At 35.7% G+C, this 23,387-nt stretch overlaps 1 protein-coding gene and 1 pseudogene across 18 annotated transcripts in view; both read left to right on the top strand.

Moving 5' to 3' along the window:
* ROBO1 (roundabout guidance receptor 1) overlaps positions 1-23,387 on the top strand; it is a 1,170,760-nt gene that overhangs the window by 825,789 nt on the left and 321,584 nt on the right. For all 18 annotated transcript variants that reach the window (XM_017006982.2, XM_047448664.1, XM_047448661.1 and 15 more), the window contains one exon: positions 3,283-3,609. In XM_017006982.2, coding sequence (XP_016862471.1) covers positions 3,283-3,609 — 327 coding nt within the window. The remainder of the gene's footprint in view (positions 1-3,282; positions 3,610-23,387) is intronic.
* On the top strand, positions 3,918-4,201 carry RN7SL751P (RNA, 7SL, cytoplasmic 751, pseudogene; annotated as a pseudogene).

Here is a 23,387-nt window from a genome sequence, read left to right as displayed (position 1 = left end):
TTGCACCTGAGCTCCTGAGTTGCTGGGATTACAGGCGTGCATCATACACCTGGCTAATTGTTTGAATTTTTTATAGAGACATGGTTTCCTTGTGTTGCCTAGGCTGGTCTTGAACTCCTAGGCTCAAGTGATCCTCCTGCCTTGACCTCCCAAAGTGCTGGAATTACAGGCATGAGCCACCATGCTTGACCCTGGTTTTCAGATTTATTGCTTGAAACGGGTCCTCACTAATTCCTTCTTAGCTCATCCTGTTAGGTCCAGTTTCATGCTGCCAATAGTGAGCTCTTTAAAACCAGCCTTGATGATACTCATCCATTGCTTAACATTTCTTAATGGTTTCTGGCTGTCTTCCACTGGGTTCCAAAACTGTGGCTCATTGTACAAAGCCCAAGAAGTTATTTATTTTAGCTATTCCTTCAGACTTACACTTCACAGTCTCTGAAATGCACCTTATACTCAGGCCATACTAAGCAGCTTGCAGGTCCCACAAGTGTACCACATACTCCTGTAGCTGTGCCTCTGGGTGAAATCATCACCTGTCTTCCGTTTCTGACTCATTCTTCAAGGCTTATCTCAAACGTAATGTGTTTGAGTTTCTTCTCTGACTTGCTCAGGCAATCTTCGGTGGCCCTTCTTTGTATCCTCATAACAGCCTATATATCCCTATTTTCTAGCTGAAATGGACTTTCAGATTTTAAAATAAAAGTTGCTTTAATTAAATAAATATCTCCTCAGCAGTCAATCCTCCTTAGTATCCACCTTTCAGAATTCCAGCCAAGGTAAAGGCCAAGAACATATTACAATACTTAATCTTCTGAAGTTGTATAGCACTGACTGTGATGAGTAATATAAAATCCAATCTGAATTTCACTTGGCTTCAACATAGCCTTAGAGAGTATAAGTTTCCAAGTAATTTTTTTCTTTTATATTGCTAGTTTATTTCCTCCTTTTCTAGAGCTTAGTTTCATTGAAAAAATCTATACCATGCTGTATACGTGCACTAAGCTAAAGTTATTAGTGTTTCAGATTATACAACTATTGGCATTTCAAATTATAATTTTTGTTTCATGGTGGACATGAGCAAATAATAGATCTTTCATTATTCATTAATATATTTCACTAAGAAAAACATTAATTGGAGTAGTTACAAATTAGATACAAATAAGCCTCATGTAGGGCTTACAGTCTATTAAAGGTTGAATGTATACGTATTAGTTATAACTTTGAAAAATAACATATTTTCCTGTCTTGTCATAGAATACATGATTGTTAAACTTCCTCTCCTTCTGCTTAGTTAGGTCTTTCTTGTCAGCACTTCATTCTTTTTTGTCATTTATTCAACACATGGTTTACTGAGTACTGTAATGTGCACAGCACTCTGCCAAGCATAAGGGAAATACCATGAGCAAAACCAGACCCACAGATCTTACAGAAGGGTGGGAAAAACGGACAAATAGCATCCGACAAATAGATTTATATATTGTAATTCTGATCATTCTTACCAAGGGTAGCTGTATAGTGCTATTTCGGTTTATAAAACCAACATTTAACTTGTAAAGATTAGAGAGAGCAGAGATTTGAAATAGAGTAGGTGTATTCTACTGTAAGATTACTTCAAGCCCAGGCCCTGTGGCAGGCATAAATCATGTTGCAGGAGGATGCGCAAGGTACTTGTGGAGCTAAGAGAAGTCAGGCTGAAGACAGCAGAGAAAAGCATGGAACAGGAAGTGTCTAGACAGGTGGATCAGGGAATGAACAGGCTAACTCTTGTAGGTCTAGTTAAAGACTTACGTTAAGAGCAGTAAGTTTATTTTAAGAGCCACTGAAGTAGAGGACAACCCACATTATATTTGCATTTCAGAGCCTTCATCTGGCTACACTGAAGTGAAACTATTTCACAGGCTTTCCTACATCCTGGTGGAAAGAGACGGTAGTTGGACTTGTGATGGTAGCTGGTTATATAGATGAGGCTAAGCAGAGTAATTTGAGAACTTTTCAGGAGGAATTTGGAAAGAACTAGGGGACAGAAAGAGAGGAAGACTGGTTTCTAATTTGCCTTATTCATTGACCTTGAAACACTAGATGAGGGCATGATTTGGGACTCTTTCAGTAAGGCCTTTGGCTGTTGAATTTGAGAAATCTTTGATAAATTTACATATTTACTGTATATAAGCAGAAATAAGATAGGAATGTTATAAAATATGAAACATCATTCCTGTTTTTGAGTTATAATCTCATTGGAAAAAATAAGGTACAGACACAGAAAATATTTAAGTGACATAGACACTCAGGGCTTCATTTATTAAGTAATATGTAAGGTCCAGAATGAAGCCCCTCACTCAATATCCTTTTCCATTTAATAGTATATTTAATTATTTAAACTCAGGTACTTAGCATTTCATCTCTGAAGTCTATTAAAATATAAATTATTATTAATAAAATTAATTTATTAATAAAAACTCTGGGGAAGTGTATATACTTTTTTTTATTTAGGAAGATATAAAAGTCTACATAAAGGACAGTTCTAGTATATATTTGAATGCAAATGTTCATTAGTATATAGCATTTTTTTTTCTTTTTTCTTTTTTTTTTGAGGCAGAGTCTTGCTGTGTCACCCAGGCTGGAGTGCAGTGGCGCGATCTCGGCTCACTGCAAGCTCCGCCTCCCGGGTTCACGCCATTCTCCTGCCTCAGCCTCCCGAGTAGCTGGGACTTCAGGTGTCCGCCACCACGCCAGGCTAATTTTTTTTTTTTTTTTTTAGTAGAGACGGGGTTTCACCTTGTTAGCCAGGATGGTCTTGATCTCCTGACCTCGTGATCCGCCCGCCTCGGCCCCCCAAAGTGCTGGGATTACAGGCGTGAGCCCCCGCGCCGGGCCACATATGTTTTGTTGAAGTGTTGACTGATGTTCGTTAAAAAGGAGGTTCCAGGGAACCGTGCCATTATTTGTAATAAACACATTCCTCTGCAGAAATGGACACATGCATGGTATAAACACACAATGTAATGGGTTCTGAAAGGACCTGGGGATGAGGGATTTGAGGACAGGATTTGCACAGGCAATGTGTAAGCGAGAGAAGTTTCTGAGTGGAGACTCAAAAGGATTCAAGAATTGGAAGGTGTAGTCAAGGCGGACACCAGAAAGATTGTTAGTAAATAGGGTAGGAAGGCTAGGCCAATGTTATGCAGTGTTTAAATAGTAATGGTTAAGCCAATGCTTTAAAAATAAGCGATTAACTGTTTTCAAGTGATATACGAAGATATTTTGTGAATTCTTCTGCAGGCTCCCGTCTTCGTCAGGAAGATTTTCCACCTCGCATTGTTGAACACCCTTCAGACCTGATTGTCTCAAAAGGAGAACCTGCAACTTTGAACTGCAAAGCTGAAGGCCGCCCCACACCCACTATTGAATGGTACAAAGGGGGAGAGAGAGTGGAGACAGACAAAGATGACCCTCGCTCACACCGAATGTTGCTGCCGAGTGGATCTTTATTTTTCTTACGTATAGTACATGGACGGAAAAGTAGACCTGATGAAGGAGTCTATGTCTGTGTAGCAAGGAATTACCTTGGAGAGGCTGTGAGCCACAATGCATCGCTGGAAGTAGCCAGTAAGTAAACTGGGCGCTCTGTGTTTGGCAGAGGGAGTGGCAGAGTGGCGTCATTTGTTTGATCATGGCAATGAAAAGTCGAATTTGTATCTCAGGCCTTACCTGAGGATAAACTCTAGCTTTGTATGTGAATACAATCTACTATTTCGGTTTTCTGTATTTCTCATCCTAACTTGTTATTCAAGCTAAATTGGTATTTACACACAGTTGGTTAACAATTTGACTTTTGATTGGGAGTGATTTTCTGTTGGAAAGTTTTATTAAAATTGTTCCATCCCCTCCTTTGTTACCTTTAAAGATATTGAATAGGGAACCATGTGCTGCCTATAGTTCAGCTACTTGAGACACTGAGGCAAGAGAATTGCTTGAGCCCAGGGGTTCTGGGCTGTACTGCACCATGTCCATTGGGTGTCCAAACTAAGTTTGGTGTCAGTACGGTGACCTCCTGAGAATGGGGAACCACCAGGTTGGCCTAAGGAGGAGTGAACAGGATCAGGTCAGAAATGGAGCAGATCAAAACTCCCATGCTGATCAGTAGTGGGATCATGCCGGTGAATAGCCAAAAAATACACACACACACACACACACACACACACACACACACACACACTCACTCTCTCTCTTATCCATAGCTACATATGAGAATTTGTCTATAAATAAGATAGTGTGGGATTTAAAAATTTGTCTTCATTAAGAAAAATACCTTCAACTGGCAGTTTAAGTTAGGGTTTTAAACCATTTCTAATTCTTAGAAATATATTTCTATTAAAGCTATATCAAAAAAGTATATGTATATGCCTTATATTTTATTTTCTTGGCTACTGTGGGGTGCCTTTGGAAGAAAACAGGTGTATGTTATCCTCAAGTAGTTTTATGGTTCAGTTTATTTACACTAGCACCAAATACAGCTCATTTGAAATTACCCTCAAGAAGGATTTATTGACTAACCATTAAACTGTTGTATCTATAGGCTAGATTTATATTGCAGTTGAATAAGAATTGGGCTTCTTTTATTTTCTATCTACATTCAAGGAGTAGCCAAAATGATTCATCCCCTTGAAAGGATCCTGCTGTATATAATATGACAAAAATTGAGAATTGCATAGGGATTGGAGAGACAAATGAAATTTAGATAAAATTCACTTTATATATAATTCTCTATAAAACTATATAAATAACCATGTATATATTTATATATGATGTTTTTCCAAGATAATTGATATGTTAATATATGTTCAAAATTTTAATTATATAATTAGTTTTCATAGTCTCCAAAATTGTCTTCAAAATTCAACTATAACTTAAATAAGCATAAAATTATACATTGATATAATTATAAAATTATAAATGTAGAAAGGGATTTAGAGACAGATTATTCCAACTCAATCATATTATTAACGTGAAATCAGCCCTAGAGAATGTAAATGACTTGATCACTCTCCCAGAGCCTCATATTACTTAAGACAGAATGCCAAAAATTTCTGATATGAGTGTAAAATATAATTAGATACAATAAAAATTAAAGTAACCATTTTAAACTGTGTTAAAACTAGCTATTCATTTTTAAAATATTTCTTTGAAGTTCTACAATCCAGTTTATATTTGCCTATTCACAGTTAACTAACAATGAACTTATGACCTTTCTCTTATTGTCTTGATTCTCAGTAAAGGTCTCAGAACTAAATTAGTGAGGTGAATGACAGCTGTCATCATAACAGAAGGCTAGTTTGCTTTTTTTATTTTTTAAGGCCAATTTGAATGTAGCCCATGCAAAATAAGTTTAAATGTTCGACCTATTTATAAAAGAATGTATAGTCCTCCCTCAGGATTCATGGGCGATTGGTTACAGGACTGCTGTATATACAAATACCCATGAATGCTCAAGTTCCTTATATATGACGTAGTATTTACACATAACCTATGCACACCCTCCCCCATATACTTACAAATATGTCTAAATTATGTACAATAGCTCATATAGTAATTGTTGCTATACCGTATTGTCTAGGGGATAATCGCAAGGGAAAAAAAGACCATACATATTCAGTATAGATACTATCATTTCTTTTCCCCTATTATTTTCCATCTGTGATTGGTTGATTCCACAGTTGCAAAGCCCATGAATATAGAGGACCAACTGCATGTTTTGATAAAGTCATATTTCAAAAGTTACGATATTACTATCAAGTTATGATATTAAACTATCACCCCCAAGTAAAAACATTAACGAAAAGTGTCTTGAGGCAACACAGGTTTCATAGCGCAGTTGTTGGTAATGCTTTCAAAACATTTTCATGTGTTTTATTTGCCTTTAAACCAAGTTTTACAGCTGTAACAACAACTGTATTTCTTGGTTCCTAACAATTGTCAACCTCTCAAACATTGAAAAAAAATTAATATAGAATGCCATTTAAAACCTTTATTTCTGTATAGAAATAATATTTTTGTCTATTGTGCCTTAAATATTTATTTAAGTTGAAGTAATGCACCAAAGTTATTCTATTTATCAGTTATTTGGGGGATTATTTATTTTTATTTTCATTTATATCCCAGTTATAACAAGGGTAGACCTCAGTGCAGATATTGGTTAATGTTTTGCTGCTGTTCTTTGCTGTGTAGTTAAAAACTGTAAACCTTTTTCTCAAAAACAGTATTGATGCAGTTAAAGTTATCTCACACAATTATAAAGTCAAAAAATTGGAATGCTAGGAAATGTATAGTAGTTTTTATCTCTAACATTTTTACTTGTAAGTATTTGAAGTTTGATTTTATAAAAGAAAACAATTTTTATGCACAAATGTGATTTTAAAATTTATTTTTTATTGATTATTTTTCTTTGCAAACCAATAATCATGTCTTGATGAGAATATGAAATTATTTAATTTAGAATACTTTGCTGTTTTTAAGACATAAAAACTCACTATTTGTCTAATTCAATTTCAAACCCAACTTTCTAAGAAGGTCTTACGAGTTGTATTTTCTTGCTTGTTTTGGATCAGCTCTATTTAAAACTTTATTAGGAAAATAGTTTGTGGGTCTATTCTCCTGTAACCAATATCACCAATGATTAAACTTAGAACTCCATGTTATGCCTGTCACAAATTGATAACACAGATCTTTGACACAACTTATATTTAATATGTAATTTGATCTTGGATAATTACATTGAAGTTTAAAGAAAGTTGATTTGAACCTTGACCCTCATGTTTTCCATTGTAGAACATGGCTCTCTACATCATCTGCTAAGCAGTATACAGTCAGCATATGGCTATTTGTTTCCATTTAAGCTGTTTTCTCCTGAGGAAGAAAAATTCCCTCCAGACTAGGCAGACATCTGCTGGCTATCTTAGCAGCAAAACCATAGAAGAACTATTTTTCCTAAAAGTGTATATGTATTTTGCTAATTAATTAAAGATTATGTCTTTTGTAGATTTTACTAACTGGAGTGCTTTTTAATAGTAATTGCTTTGAACTAAAATGTATGCATTTTGAAGGAATATTTTCTCGCTGCTTTCAATATATTATGTTCTTTCATTGTTATTATTAGTAACTTATGCTTCTTAAAGTGACTTAGAATTCAAATTATACAGTTTTCCTCATGTGGGTAAAATGAGAACATGAACTGACCATGTATGCTGAGTAGCCACGTGTTTACCTAGGTACAATAGAATGTATTTCCAAAATCTAGTCCGTGGAAGATGGAAGGATTACTCCTAGGGGTAAAATGGTTCAGATGAGATGAAGTGGAGTGGAAATAGAATATGTTATTATAAAATATTGTTTGATTGATTGGTGTGTGTGTGTGTCTATGTGTGTATCATCAGAAATATTCAGAGAAGGAAAGATTTGTTCAATATAAAAGAGCAGATCAGTGATAGAATGAAGACTGGAAATTGGGTCCCCCCATTTTGAGCTTGGAATAGATGAGAATCCCTGAGTTCTGAGATATCAGCACCGTAGCTTAGAACTAACTCCTTCACAGAAGTAGATGGTCTTTGGTGAGGGCAGAAAAGCCATATATAAATATATGTATGTGAAAATACATGCATATATGTATATATCTTTACTGGACAGACTTTTTATGTTTGAAATTGAACTAACTTTATATTGGATCTTTTAAAATATTCCTTGTTTCCTTTACTTTTGTCTTTTAAAAAAAGTACCATTTAAAAATGCTTTGATCAGATTCTAAAACATTTTTATATATCTTATTTTTATTTTCAGTATTCAAAGAATACTGTTAAAGGGTGGTTTAGTTTCAATTTTTAAACACCATTTTACTCTTTTGTACACGTATACTGTAAAATGTACTGGCTCTTCATTCCAAAAATGATTCATGATTAAATGAAATAATGCATGTAAAATACATAACACAGTTACTAGCACATGGTTATAATTCATAAGTCTCAATTGTTTTTGCTATTGCTTTCACTACCTTTTTCTCTTTACTTCCATTATGGTTAGACACTGGAGAACTGAAAGATTATTTAAACAAATCCTCTTATCTAAAGGGGACTTGGACAGTTCTGATTTCAAAAATGAGATCAGTTCTTACTTTATTTTGAATTTGAAGATACATTTGCTAAGATACTTAAATTTAAATAAAATGCTTCATTAATTAAATTTATTTAAATTAATTTCTGATTAAGTAAACAATATACTTAAGTATATATAGTATTTCCTACTAAATTCCATCTTGAAATTGATCATGTGGGAAATTGACACTTTAGATCCTCATTGGTGATGCAGGACATGCAAATAATCTTGAGTCCACTCAGTTTTGTTTCAGGAACAAATTTATTTTTTTAACTTTTATATTCAAATTTTCTTTTTCAATTTATATTTGTCCACTTAAGTAAAGAAGCCATATTGCTAAGTTTCATGACATGATTATGTTTATTGAAGACTTTTTTGCTATCACTCAGAATATGTTCTTCTGTCATTGCCTTGCATAACAATATATTTGGATTTTTATTAGTAGTTATTTTATCATCTTTAATGACCAAAAAATAAAAATCAGAAAATAATGACATCTCAATGATGTCAGTAAGTAGTGAGTCCATCAGTCCACTTGTTGCATCCAAATATCAGGTTTAAATTGTTTCATAAGTGAGGTATAGGCACATTATCTCTTGAAGTAAATATAGCATGCATTCTGTATTTGATGGGAAAAAAGCAGAAGTATTTGGATATACATTAAGAGAAAAGACACTTGTCATTTTCTTTTGAAAGCACATAAAATTCTCTTTATGTTTTTAGATTTTGCTTTCCAAAGAGTAGTTAATATGAAATATCAAAATAGAAACTTACGTTTCATAAGCCATATGAGAGATTTCAGTGCTAATGGGCAGAAAGAGAAGATTTGAGTTTCAATGGGCATTTCAGCAGAAAAGGACAGTTTGCTGACCATTTCAGTATGAGTGTTAGAGAACATGGCTGTGTCAGAGAATGTAATATTCCTTCTAGCAATAAATAACCTCAGGTTATAGTCTATCTTAAAACTATGCTTAGTTAAACAGATTATAGGCTCACATATCTGTTTAGTTAGCTTCTTCTTTTTCTGTTTAATCTCACAGAAGTGTGTATTAATCCTTAGCAACTTTCTAGAAAGATCTTAGAGTGGGAGTACTTTACACAATTTCCTTTTTTATTATCCATCACAGGTCAACTAAGATGATTTATAAGCTTACAAAAATCATTTTTATAAAAAAATTCTAAAATTATATTTTACATTCTGATTGCAGAAGTAATATGTGCTAATTATAGAACACTTTTAAAATACATACATGCATTTGCAATCCTGCTATCCAGAGATAACTACTATTGAACTTTGGGTGTGTATCCGTCTAGTCTTTTTTTCCTGCACATTATGTACAGAACGATCCTATAAGCAGGTATTTCATATGTATTTTCTTATTTTCTATGGAAAGCTATTTACTGTTCAATAATATTTACTCTTTTCTTAGGTGGCCAAAAAAGGCATTAGGTATGTTGGAATACATAGTCAGCTATGTCATAAAGACTAAATGGAAAAGTTTGACTCTCTAGATTGGATGCTACAAAACAGCTGCTGTCAATATAACTGTGTTCAGTATTACTGGATACACTATCCTGGAACAGATTCAATCTGGTAATCTTGGGGTTAAGGGTGACGTATTTTATTACCAGTCTCATGAACTACTCCTTTTATTTTCTTGAAAAGTAGCTGATATTCATACATGCTGAAAAGTGCTAAGATGAGTATTTCAACACTAGTTGATACTTAGATATAAAGCCTCTTGAGACGTCCAGAATATCAATTCAGTATTTGGTTATTTATGGGAAATTCTTGGCAGTGTCTCCTTGTATCAACAGTACTGTCTTTAAAAACTAATAAAATGAGAAGGTGCATCTGGTTATCTCTGAAGCCTTATCATCAGATCACTCTTTTTAATCCTCCTAATTTGCTTATTATTTAAATGCTAGAAATCTTTCTCATATTCATAGACTAACTTGAGAATCATTTGTATTTAAAGGTTTTGGTTCACAAGTTTAATTTAAACCTTAGTATAATTAATTTTAATTAATACCGTAGAGTTTAACTGAAGCTCTCAGTACTTACCAGTTTAAACTTTTTTTTTATTTTTGAGACAGGATCTTACTGTGTCACCAAGGATGGTGTGCAGTGGCACAGTCACCCTCACTGTAGACTCAACTTCCTGGGCTCAAGCGATCCTCCTAACTCAGACTTCTGAGTAGCTGGGACTAAAGTGTGTGCCTCTACACCAGGCTATTTGTTTTGTTTTGTTTTTACTTTTTGTGGAGACAGGATCTCTCTGTATTGCCCAGGCTGGTCTCAAACTCCTGGTCTCAAATGATCTCCCTTCCTTGGCCTCCCGAAGTGCTGTGATTATAGGCATAAGCCACTGTACCTGGACAATTTAAACCTTTTAAAATCTATACTTGCTGTACCATAGATTTGTCAGGTTAGAATAAAACATGGTTAAATACCCTTGGTGGATAAAAGTTCTTCTGTTGTTTTGTTACACAATATGGACATTGAAAATGTTGTTTTTGGCTGGGCACGGTGGCTCATGCCTGTAATCCCAGCACTTTGGGAGGCCGAGGTGGGCAGATCGCTTGAGGTTAAGACTTCGACACCAGCCTGACCATCATGGAGAAACTCCGTCTCCACTGAAAATACAAAATTAGACGGGCATGGTGGTGCATGCCTGTAATCCCAGCTACTCGGGAGGCTGAGGCTGAGGCAGGAGAATCACTTGAACCTGGGAGGCGGAGGTTGCAGTGAGCTGAGATCGTGCCATTGTACTCCTGCCTGGGCAACAAGAGTGAAACTGTCTCAAAAAAAAAAAAAAAAAAAAAAAGAAAGAAAGAAAAGAAAATGTTGTTTTTAAAAGTCAGAAATTGAATAAAAATGTGAAGAATACCAAAATATAGTTTGTCCAAAAAAAAGTGATTTTTTTTTAAAGTAACTTCTTACAGGCATTTTGTTTAGCTCTAGCTAGTCAATGGTGACCAAAAATGAAATGATTCTTGTCTTCATGGAAATTCCAGGACAATGGGAGGTGAGAGGAGCAGGGGGGAAAGAAAATAAGCAACTAGCCAAATAAATAACTTTATGCTTAATTTTGACAAGTGCCAGGAAGGAATTTAGTCAGAGCTGAGAGTTGAATTACATGTGGATATTACTGGGCAATATGCAATGGTGGGGTGTCAGGATCTGATTTACATTTTAAAACATCACCTATGTTGTACCTGAGTGTTACATGTGTAGAGAATGAGTTGCATAATAGTCAGAGGACATCAATTAGGAGGCTATTCTAGTATTCCAGGCAAGAAATGTTGATAGTTTGAAGCTGGTGGTAGTAATAGAGATGAAAAGAAAAGAGAGGATTAGATTTGGGGACCAAAGATTTGGCTTAATTTTAGAGAGTTAAATAGTAGAAGTTGAGATTTTGCAGGAGATGCAATTGATGACAAGGTCAAGGTCAAGCCTATGACTGCAAATGGAATTGGAAGTTTGGATTAGGATTTGTTAGCTCAAAATGGCTTATAGCGGTTTGGTATGCTTCATCCCATCACCATCCCGAGAAAGTATACTTTCTGTTTTTCTCTTACCTGGAATGTGCTCTTCTTCCAAGTCCACCTGTCACTCTCTTATTGTAGGCTTAGGGCCCCCCTTTCCCAAAACCATGATGTGGCCAGTGTACTGGGTTTAGCCTCTTGCAGTCTGTGCTCACATGGCTCCCAGCACACTGCCTTAAAATGCAGCATTTGTCTTTTCATCCCAAGTGCCTAGCACCATGCCTGGCCTATTGGAAGTGAAGTGATCTAACATGGAACTCAGAAATATTTTACTTCCTGTGTGATGAACATCATAAGCATCATAGTGCCACATCAAGGAGCAGTCTAATCTACCTTTTTCACTCACTTCCCAACAACTTCTTTGTATAGTTAGGGAGTTTGCCTGCTCTCAAACACTACTTTGAGAGCACAGGATTTAGAATACAGTCATCAGGTACTATTTCCTTAGGAGGTTTTATTTGTTTTGTTTTCTTTCGTTCTGGAATATTTAAGTATCTCTTTTGGGGATAACATTACTTGGGGAATTTAGCTGACTTCCAGTAATACGAGAAGCCAAATGAATTGCTTTTAGGCTCTGATAAATGTAAAGCTGTCTTTCTAAGTGTAGTGACCCTTCCGTGCAATCTCAACCTGTGTTTCTTACCCTAATGATCAGTTAATAGACCATGAAGAGGATTCAGCTCTTCCTAACTGATAAGGAAGTTGTTTCTCGGTCAAGCACAGTGGCTCATACCTGTAATCCCAGCAGTTTGGGAGGCTGAGGTAGGCAGATGGCTTGTGGCTCAGGAGTTTGAGACCAGCCTGGGCAACATGGTGAAACCCTGTCTCTACAAAAAAATACAAAAATTAGCCGGGCGTGGTGGTGCATGCCTGTAATCCCAGCTACACAGGAGGCTGAGGTGGAAGGATTGGTTGAGCCCGGGATGTGGAGGTTGCAGTGAGCTGAGGTGGCATCACTGTGCTCCAGCCTGGGCAATAGAGCGAGACTCCATCTCTAAATAAATAAATAAATAAATAAATAAATAAATAAATAAATGATACTGGAAAAGAAATAATTTCTGTGTTGACAGTGCCTGAATTTCCTGAGGTTGCTTGAGACACTTTACATATGCAAAACAGGACCTAGCAACCTTTACTTTCTCTTTTTCTGTCTGGTAGGGGATAAAATACACACAATGACAGGACTGTCTTTATAAATGAATAAAATGGAAAGGTGCATCTGGTTATCTGGGGCCTAATTTTTAATTCAGTATATCTGATGTTTAAGTCTAATCTCAGTCTCTTAGTCTCTAAAGTGAAAATTGTAACTTCAGTCGCATTTTAAATTGTGTTGTATTTAACCCAGGGTTTAAATTGAAGTTTTAATAGTGCAAATGACATTTTACATTTGTCAGGAGAAATAAAAGTTTATGATCAAGTTATTTAGTATGCCTGAATGAGAACATTTTAAATCTTATCCAGTAAATTATGGAGCAAATTCAGAATAAAAGCTAAAAAGTTAAAGAGAAAATGGGCAAAGACACCACCTCCACGAAAGTATTTATATATCTCAATCTCTCCCCCTCCCCGACTCTGTACATATTTACCAGGTAATACTGTCCTGTATGTAGATTTAGTCACATTAAGTTACTCTTTTATCAGATTTTCATCTCAGTCAGGCACCAGAAAAATGGATTAAGAGCCAGCATTTAATGTAGAAGGACCTTTAGAACATTTTAATTATGTAATTCAGCACTTGTCATAGCTTATGAGAGTGTTCTCAAATGGAAGTGTAGTACAGGTTGCAATCTCGTTGACTCTTGCTTAAAGGCATTCTTGGAAAATATGATTTAGAATATTTTCCTTTGGGACCACCCCTGGGAAGAAACCAGTAAAGAGTCAATAACTGATGAAAGAGGAACAATATTTATATGACCAGTGGATCGAGAATCTGTGGATATTTGCTTTTCTCTCTGCTTGTCACTTTTGCTTAAATCACGCAAAGTAGCCCTAAAATTCTGTGTTTGGACTCTAACATTGGTAGACAATAAGGTCAATTTCTTAACATTTTTCTTTTTCTTTTCTTCTTTTCTTTTTAAAAAGTAATTAACACTTAGGTCACTGCATTGTCTCCCATTAAATGAGTTCTTTCTGGACCATGTTGGTAATAATTCTTAAAGCCTCCCTCAGAGTTCTAATCAATACATTTCTTATGAACTGTTCTAGAAGGCGTTTTGTTCTGTTTTAGTTTAATGGGTTTTCTTAACCCTATCCAATGACTCCTTTCTGTAGTGGACATTGTGGATACTCTTTTTAGTTACAGACAATTAATTCTGTCATTAAGTCAAAACAAATTTTGTTTTCAACAAATTTAATAAATGATTTATTTAGTACAGCTCTGTGATCTTGCTGAAATTATTTAGTCTCTGTGTGTTTCAGTTCTCTTACCTGTAAAATGGGGATATGAATTATGCTTACCTAATAGAGGTTTGGGAAGGATTAATAGTTGGTGTATCTATAGTGCTCAGAACTGTGCCTGGCTGACAGCAGGCAGTATGTGTGAGTTGTAGCTGTTGTAACATCTGCTGTTTACTATGTTAGGCTCATTCTTCGGTTGATTCCTTCCATGTATATGGTTCCAAAGAATGTGTCTCTTCATTTCAGAAAGGCAAATGCTGAAAAACTAATTCCATGTATAGTTACATTTAGAATAATCTTTCTTTCTCCTGGGTTAGTCATCTTCTCATACATAAGTCCACATAATTATTGTGAAAAGATATGTATTCTTTATATATCAGTACATGGTCTGTGTTTTATGACAAATATATCTTTGAAGGTTTATAAAGCTGCTGTTAGTGGCATGGTTAACATTTAGATATTTCATTGTGGCTTTTCTCAAAATATATACCAATGAATTATTATTTTGGCAGTTAAAAAATAATTTGGAAAATACTTCTTTAAAAAGACTTTTAAACATACCTCTTTTCTGTAAGACTTCAGTCTCTAAAATATTCAAAAATGATATGATACACGAGTAAGGGATCTCAATTAGTGTGACTTCCACAATTATATGAACTGCAAAAACATTTTGTATGAATAATCTGTCTTGTTTTTCCCAGAAAATGTTTTGGGTAGACATTTTGTGTAATATTTCATACTTTGTGGAAGAAAATACAATTTTAAAAGTGCCTTGGTATCTCAGGTTTGGATGTGTGGTTGTCTTCGTGATTCCTTTATTTGCAGAATGTAAGAGTAAGAATAGAATGTACTGTTCTGTTTCCATTTTGTCTTCCAGGAATGTTTTGTTCTGTCCTATATTGAAGAATATAATAGGAGCCCATTCAAGATTTTAAACATAGGCAATTCAAATATGGAGCTTTACCGACATTTTCCAAAGAGATGCTTAGTACCATGTGTGGCCTTATCCCACTCTCTCACTGATATCCTGTTACTCTTAATGGCCTTGATCTCAGCTTTCTAAACTTTGCTTTTTATAATGGATATAATTTACCTCTTGTCAGCAATTGACATAGTTGACCTTTTTTTTTTGAAATATTCTCTTTCCTAGAATTTCATGGCACCCAGCTATATCAGGATTGCATCCAACTTTCATGTAACCGAAGTTAGGACATTTAACCAGATTGGTTTAAATTTAATGCCTGAGATAGGCCATATAGAGAATGTATAGTGGCTTTATATGATTTTCCTCTTATTCATCTGGCTGAGTCTTTCTTGGCCTATAGCTAAAATATTCCATTTCTCGAGGATTTGTCATAGGCTTTGTTTTTTGCTTTATGACTTACCCTGAAGACCACACCCACCTCCTTGCATTCACATACCAATTTTGTCCTGATTCACTCTCTGTTCTCTCATCCCCAGCCTGAACCTCTATACTCAGCTCCATTTGGAGGTCCTGGTGGTACCTGCAGCTCAAATGTCCAAAATGCGACTTTTCATCTTGCTTCTCATTCCTGACTTTCCTCTATTATTTCCTAACGATGATAATGATGCCATTATCCATCCAACCCTCCAGACCAGAAACCTGCGATTGATTCTTCCCGACTTTCTTTCCACAGCAGTTGAGCCTCAGGTCTTGCTGATGTTTTCTCCTGAACAGCTTCAGTATTTTCCCACTTATCTCCATTTCCTTTGCAATTTGAATCAGAATCACCATTATTTCTCATCTTAGTAACTATAATACTCTTTTGCAAGTACAAATCTCATCAGTCCCTCTAGATGCTCACTCAGAGATTCTCAATTGCTTCTAAAGTCTTAATTTTTAAAAATGACTTCCAAGGATCTATATGACCCCAGCATTGTGGCCTAGAATTCAACCCCATCCCTTTGATCTAGTAAAATGTATATATTGGCTGGGTGTGGTGGCTCACGCCTATAATCCCAGCACTTTGGGAGGCTGAGGCGGGTGGATCATGAGGTCAGGAGTTTGAGACCAGCCTGGCCAACATGATGAAACCCCATCTCTCCTAAAAATGCTAGAATTAGCCATGTGTGGGGGTGGGCATCTGGAGTGGCAGCTACTGGGGAGGCTGAGGCAGGAGAGTTGCTTGAACCTGGGAGGCGGAGGTTGCAGTGAGCTGAGATGGCGCCATTGTACTCCAGCCTGGGCAACAGAGCGATACTCTGTCTCAAAAAAAAAAAAGTACATTTTGCTTCAGAGTTCAGCAGAGCCATCACTTCCACCTGGGCTCTTTTTCTTTATCCCCACTCCTCCCACACCCACCACAAGTTAAAGGTAACCATAAATGGACCACCCTCTATCCCTTTATCATAGTATGTCACTCCTGCATTGTGAGGAAATCTTCATTCTTCTGTATTTGGCACTTACTTCTCACCGCTGTGTATACCTTGTAGTACCTGGCACAGGTCACAAAAGTATTATTATTAATTTTTTGTCAATAAAAGATTGTATACAAAGATTCTTTTCAACCAACATCAATGAAAAAAGGTGTTTTTCGTTATATTTGAAGGGTAAGGTACAATTTACATTTTGTTCCCACAGTGGAAATGAGTGATTGCGCACAAATTATCCATATTTTTATACCTGCTCGGCCTTATGCCTCATTTTTTTCCTGTTTGGAAACAAATAATTTTTTTCTAGAATAAACTAATTAGAAGTCATATTTGTGAGTGTCCAATGCAGCTCAGCTTTTTCAAAAGAGCTTCAAGTACAACATTATTTAATACATATTCTGATCATTAGCTCAGATGATAAAATTTGACTATAAAATTTAGTGAACCTTAAGTAGAATGAAATTATGTTTCAGAATCTATACTAAACAGCAGATATTATACATAGGTATTTAAAGGGGAATATGCATTGATGGACATCACTAGAAATAAGCAAAAGTTTCCTTAAATTGTTACATAAGCAGAAAAAAGTATTCATTAACATTATAGCTAAATGTATAGTGTAAAAGTTTACCTCAATGTTTACTTTAATAACCTAACATGTACCGCTTGAAACTCAATTAAAAGGCATGACAACATAGAACCTTGAAAATAATTTGGAATTTAGATTTTTAAAATATTAAATTAAAAAAATAATAGATTTAAAAACAATTGCTACTTTATTTTTAAATTATCAAAATTATTAATTTAAGTATTTTAAAATATAAATATTTCCATGTAAATGTAAAACAATTTACAGATATTAAATATTTAAGACTCTAAATATTTAATTATTTTTGGAACACTCTGCTTTTGTTTAAAGTGAGACACAAAATTCAGAAACTAGAATGTCACAGCCTTTGCCATTGCAGCTTGCTTCCTTTGACTGAGATGTGCTGATAGTAACCATTTTCTAAGCTATAATGATTAATGCTACTTAGGGGAGGTAGGAAAAAAGTTAATTTAACTGGAGTCGTTCAGTTTTAAAGGGATTTTATTGAACACAGAAAGTATACACAAACACACACACACACTGAAGAAATATTTTAATATGCCTGTTACAGATGCAGTTACAGCTCTTTTTTGTTTTTCAGTGTTTTTAGAATGTCAGATCCAAATATTTTTTATTTTTTAAAAATAAAGTTGAAACATATGATTTATTCATGAAATTTCAGAGGGGGAAAATATGAACAAAGGAATCCCTCTCCCTCTAACCTTGCCCTGAAATGCTACAATGACTGTGATAATTAGCTCCATGTTATTATAGATTATTTTTCTTATAAATAATTTATATTTCAGTTTGCTTTAGTTCTTTAAAAAGGCAAAGCATGAAATTGATTAGATATAATTGTACGTTTGATTAATATTTAATTTGAAATTATTTTGCAGCTTCAAGTTTAGATGTAACTGTCACATTTTAGAATACTAAGTGTATATTAGATAGCTTGGTATAAATGTCTTCCTAATTATTCACTTTTTTATTATTCAAAAGCACCATTTCTCATAGCTATACATCATGTTTTATAATGTGTGTATGTGTATGTATACATACTTATACATGTATGTGTGTATATGTATTTATATATGTGTATTTTTTTTTTCTTTTGTTGGATAACAGAGTTGACTCAATTTAGACATCACCTTTTTTTTCTTCCCTAAGGAGTTCAGGTCATAATTCAATAATACTACATATATAACAAGTACTGTTATAAATGCAAGTATTAACCAATTTGAAAACATAGCTCATTCATTCCACATAAAACACAAGTTCCTACTTTGAGGGACTGTTTGCATCGCCTCCTTCGCCTTCTCAGAGGAACTCAGGAAATCAGTTCACCTTCTTAGAGGAACTCAAGTAATCAGAGCTGTTGCTCCACTGAAGCTCCTGGAAGGGTAGAGGCCAGAGGACCTCCTATGGGGACAGATTTCTCGGGCAGCTTGAGTTGATGAGCTGGAGAGGTGGCTTGAGGAAGGAGTAACTTCTTCTGGAATGAGAAGTTTCTCACTTCTTCCTCTTCTTTCCAGTCACATCATTTCTTTCTTCCCTTAGCGGCATTTCAATTTTCTAGAAAAGCGGAGACTACTATAGAGTAGCATTACACACACCATTTAAAGCTTTTTCTCTGATTCAGCTGAAGTCTCTGGAATCTGTCTGGTGGCAATCTACAATTCTATGGACAGTCACTCTGGTCCTGGGGAAAGGGAAGATATTAATCAGTCCCTTTCCACTTTAGAAAATGACTTGCAAAAAATAAATGAAACAAACCAGGGATGGGATCATGTGAATAAGATATTTTTGCTTACCATTGAGTTTCCTTCATGAAATGTCAGTTCCATGAGGATAAGGACCTTGTAACTCCTAATAACTGCTGATCTAGAACAGTACCTGGCACAGAAAAAGTCTCAAAAATGTTTAGTGAATGAATGTACTCTGAGCTTAACTCTTGAAGCTGATTTTCTGGGGCTGAAAGGTAAGGACCTGATAGTATCTCTGGAACTCTGTGACTTCATTTTCTTGTCTATAAGAGGGCAATGCTATATGTTATCTTGCTTAATAATTGCATAATTGGATAACTATTGGAAAATAATTTGCACTAGTCAGAGATAGGCATTATCCAGATAAGAGATAATTATCTTTATTAAATAGTCAATGATGTCCTTAGAACTTCTGATATTTCTAATGGTTTTGCAAAACTGCAGTCTTAGTGCCTGAAAGAAAATCAGACAATGAGTCCAGATGCGATAGCTCACACCTGTAATGCCAGCACTTTGGGAGGCAGAGGCGGGTGGATCCCTTGAGGTCAGGAGTTCGAGACTATGGTGAAACCCCATCTCTACTAAAAATACAAAAGTTAGCCAGGCGTTGTGGTGCATGCCTGTAATTCCAGCTACTCGGGAAGCTGAGGCAGGAGAATCGCTTGAACCCGGGAGGCAGAGGTTGCAGTGAGCTGAGATCGTGCCACTGCACTCCAGCCTGGGTGACAGAACAAGAATGAGACTCTGTCAAAAAAAAAAAAAAAAAAGAAGAAGAAGAAGGAGAAGAAGAAAATCAGACAGTGGTTTTATAAAAAAGTAATCGAGAGAGGATAGGGAGAGGAAGAGGGAGAAGGAGAAAGACAGGGAGAGGACTTTAAATTAGTTAGCTCTGACTACCTTGCCTATGAACTTTTCTTTGAAATTATGCTTTTCTATGAGAATTTGTATATTTTTTGTTGATGTTTCTAGCCTTTTAGCCTGATGATAGGACCTTTGAGTGTCTGTCTAGGATACATTGGTAGGTAAGGGTAGACCATGATCATTTTTGGCAGAAATGAAGCCTGTTTCCAGAAGGCACGTTCCTCCATGATTTTCCTGAACATTTTTGGTTGATGACTTGGGGGTCAGGGAATCCATTCAGGTGAGAGGTTAGTTTTTTGGTCTTCAAATTGGAAGAGCAACTTTAGCCTTTGATTTGTATTATCTTCTCACAGCAACTATTATGTTGACTGCCTGTACATGCCTTCAATACCATGTAAACCTAGTTTATCTTTTGTATATTTGATTTCTTAGATGGTTAGAGCTGCCTGTAATCCCAGCACTTTGGGAGGCCGAGGTGGGCAGACCTCATGATCTACTAAATAAGAGAAATTTTCTCTTATTAATAAGAAAAACCCATCTCTACTAAAATAAGAAAAAATAGCTGGGCATGGTGGTGCACGCCAGTAGTTCCAGCTACTCGGGAGGCCAAGGAAGGGGAATCGCTTGAACCCGAGAGGCGGAGGTTGCAGTGAACTGAGATCGTGCCACTGCAGTCCAGCCTGGACAGAGCAAGATTCTGTTTCAAAAAAAAAAAAAAGGATTGTTAGAGCTGTTTCCTGTTCTTTTATATGTGTTGTGTTTTCCTTGTACATAATATTTTGAAAACTTTAACTATTCATGCCAGATTTTGTTCCCTGTTTAAAAGTGTGTTTCTGTGTCAGTGAACTTTTACATATTTTATATACAAACATACCCATTTGTATTGTTACTCAAAAACTTTTGAAAAATGCTTGTTACTTTCCTAAAATAAGGTGAGCTTATATTGCGAACAAAATCGTATTATTTCAGAGGCATTCCATTTGGGACATTTACTGTACTACAGGGAATCTCTCATTTCAAAATGACCTGTGTTGCAGTTATTGTTTATAAAACTGTTCATTTATCTGACATAAGGGGCTAATCAAACTGCTTAAGTACATTCCTGGATGTTTGGAAGATTTTTAAGCGCCATAGAGAGGGTACTTATGCTATGGAAATTGTGTTTATATATATATGCATAATTGCCACTGAAATTCTGAACAGACCCAAAGGAAGAAAAATACTGTGATTTAAATAAAGCTAACATAATTAATTTATATCTATTTTATATTTGACTTAGTGGGATAAATTGTTTTGTGGAAAACCATATTATAAAATAGTCTAAGTTTTTTATAGTTGAGGAAGAATTTGAGGTGAAAGATCATGTTAATTGTAACAATTGCCAGTACTTTGTGTTCACTATGTGTCTGGCACTGATTTATGTTTATTAATTTACTACATCCTCAGAACAATTCAGTGAAGTAGGTATTACTAATATTCTTACTTTGAGATTATGAAACCGAGGCTCAGGTAGTTTAAATAAATTTGCCATGTCACACGCAGTGGCTCATGCCTGTTATAACCAACACTTTGGGATGCTGAGGCAGGAGGATTGCTTGAGGCCAGGAGTTGGAGCCCACTCTGGGGAAAACATGTTGAGATCTTGCCTCTGCAAAAATAAAGTAAAATAAAATTTAAAAAAAGTAAAAAAATAAAATCAGCTGAGCATGGTGACATGCACCTGTGGTACCAGCTACTTTGGAGGCTAAGTTGAGAGGCAGTGATGGGAGGATCATTTGACGGCCCAGAGGTTGAGGCTGCAGTGAGCTGTGTTTGTGTCATTGCACTCCAGCCTGGGTAACAGAGTAAAACCTTCTGTCAAAAAAAAAAAAAAAAAAAAAAAAAAAACTGAAAGAAAGAAAAAGAAAGGCTGGGTACGGTGGCTCATGCCTGTAATCCCAGCACTTTGGGAGGCCGAGGTGGGCGGATCATCAGATCAGGAGTTTGAGACCAGCCTGACCAACATTGTGAAATCCCGTCTCTACTAAAAATAAAAAAAAGTTAGCCGTGCGTGGTGGCACCTGCCTGTAATCCTAGCTACTCAGGAGGCTGAGGCAGGAGAATTGCTTGAACCTGGGAGGCAGAGGTTGCAGTGAGCTGAGATTGTGCCACTGTACTCCAGCCTGGGCAACAGAGCAAGACTCCATCTCAAAAAAAAGAAAAAAAAAATTGTCCATGCCTATAATCCTTATGTTATTTTGTCTCTAACAGTTAAAGCCTTTCATTAATCATGAAGGATTCTTAATCATGAAAGTGAAATGTAGGACAAATTCATCTTGTATGTAAGACAATTACCTTCTCACTAAATAATGCTAAGGCATGATATATTTTATTTCCTTTGGGAATATAATTGTTACTATAGTAGTCAGTATGTTGCAAAATACGCAGTTTTTAATTTACATTTTCCTATTTGTTTTCCGAATTCACACTGAATCATAGATAACAATCAGTACAATGTTAGGATTGTTTTACATTTAATTCCTTCTTACACATGAAACTATTACATTTTCACCCTGCCACAGGTAATTGGTTCCAGACCTTTATGTTTTGCATTTAGGATTAAGCTGTGGCTTTGATATCTATGCATTATTAGCAAATCAAGTTATCACAAGATTAGTATACTAAAAAATGGATTCCTCCAATAAAATTTGAGATGGGCTAAAAGGAGGTAAACTGCTAGTTGGTTGTTTCTTCTTTTTGCCTTTATTGTCCTTTATTAAGGCCTATAATTTTAACCTCCATCGATTTACCTTCCTCAACTTTTTCTGTGATGTAAAGACAAAGTAGCTTTGGGTAAAGAAACCATTATTTAATCTGGCCCTGTAAAATAACATGACCAGGGAGATCATGTCCAGGCAGGATCAATACTGAGATCTTCTGACATGGAATAGGTAATCTTTTAAAGCCTAGATATTGACAGGACAATCCACTAAGTAAATAGCTGGGAAGCAGTAAAGCTTCAATTGGCTTACCGTGTTAGCACATACTATTTCCATTTTCTTGCAGTGACAAGGCTGTTCTTGGGCCATGTTCAGCTTTCTTTTAGGCCCATCTACTTTGATTCTACTTAATTGATTCTCAACCTTGCTTGTTTTATATTGTCAGAATCACCTTTTATTTTTCAGTGTTAAAAAAAGACAAGAAGTTACTCATCTCTGGCCAGTAACTTTCAGTGATGTGAAAGTACTAGTATTTCAGTCTGGCCTTGCACTGTCTAAGCTAGTCTGTGTGTGAATTCCCCTGTTCAGAGGATCCAGTGAGTCACTTTGTGAGGATACACTTGAGCCTGTTTGAAGCTCACGTAACCATAATCTCCCTATGGTCTGATGTAATAACCGGTAAGAAAGTCAAGCACAAATTGATATATGTCTGAGGGTTGTAGGCATAATTATCTTAATATGACACTTTAGAAATAACATATTGTCGATATGTCATTGACCTTTTTTCCAAAATGGGTAAAATATTTGTAAGTGTAGATAAAATTATGACAGTGTGGTACTTTCCTTTGCTCCAGAACCACAAGAAAGAATCACTAACTTGGTTGCAGAAACATGTGTTGAAGAATTAGGTTACCTAGATTAGGACAATTGCCAGAATGCTTCCTTTTTCATATCCTTTTTTCATAAAGTACTCACTTTATGGTTGTGGGC

The sequence above is a fragment of the Homo sapiens genome, chromosome 3, assembly GCF_000001405.40.
Source record: "Homo sapiens chromosome 3, GRCh38.p14 Primary Assembly".
Classification (NCBI taxonomy): Eukaryota; Metazoa; Chordata; class Mammalia; order Primates; family Hominidae; genus Homo; species Homo sapiens.
This window is presented reverse-complemented; position numbering and strand designations above follow the sequence as displayed.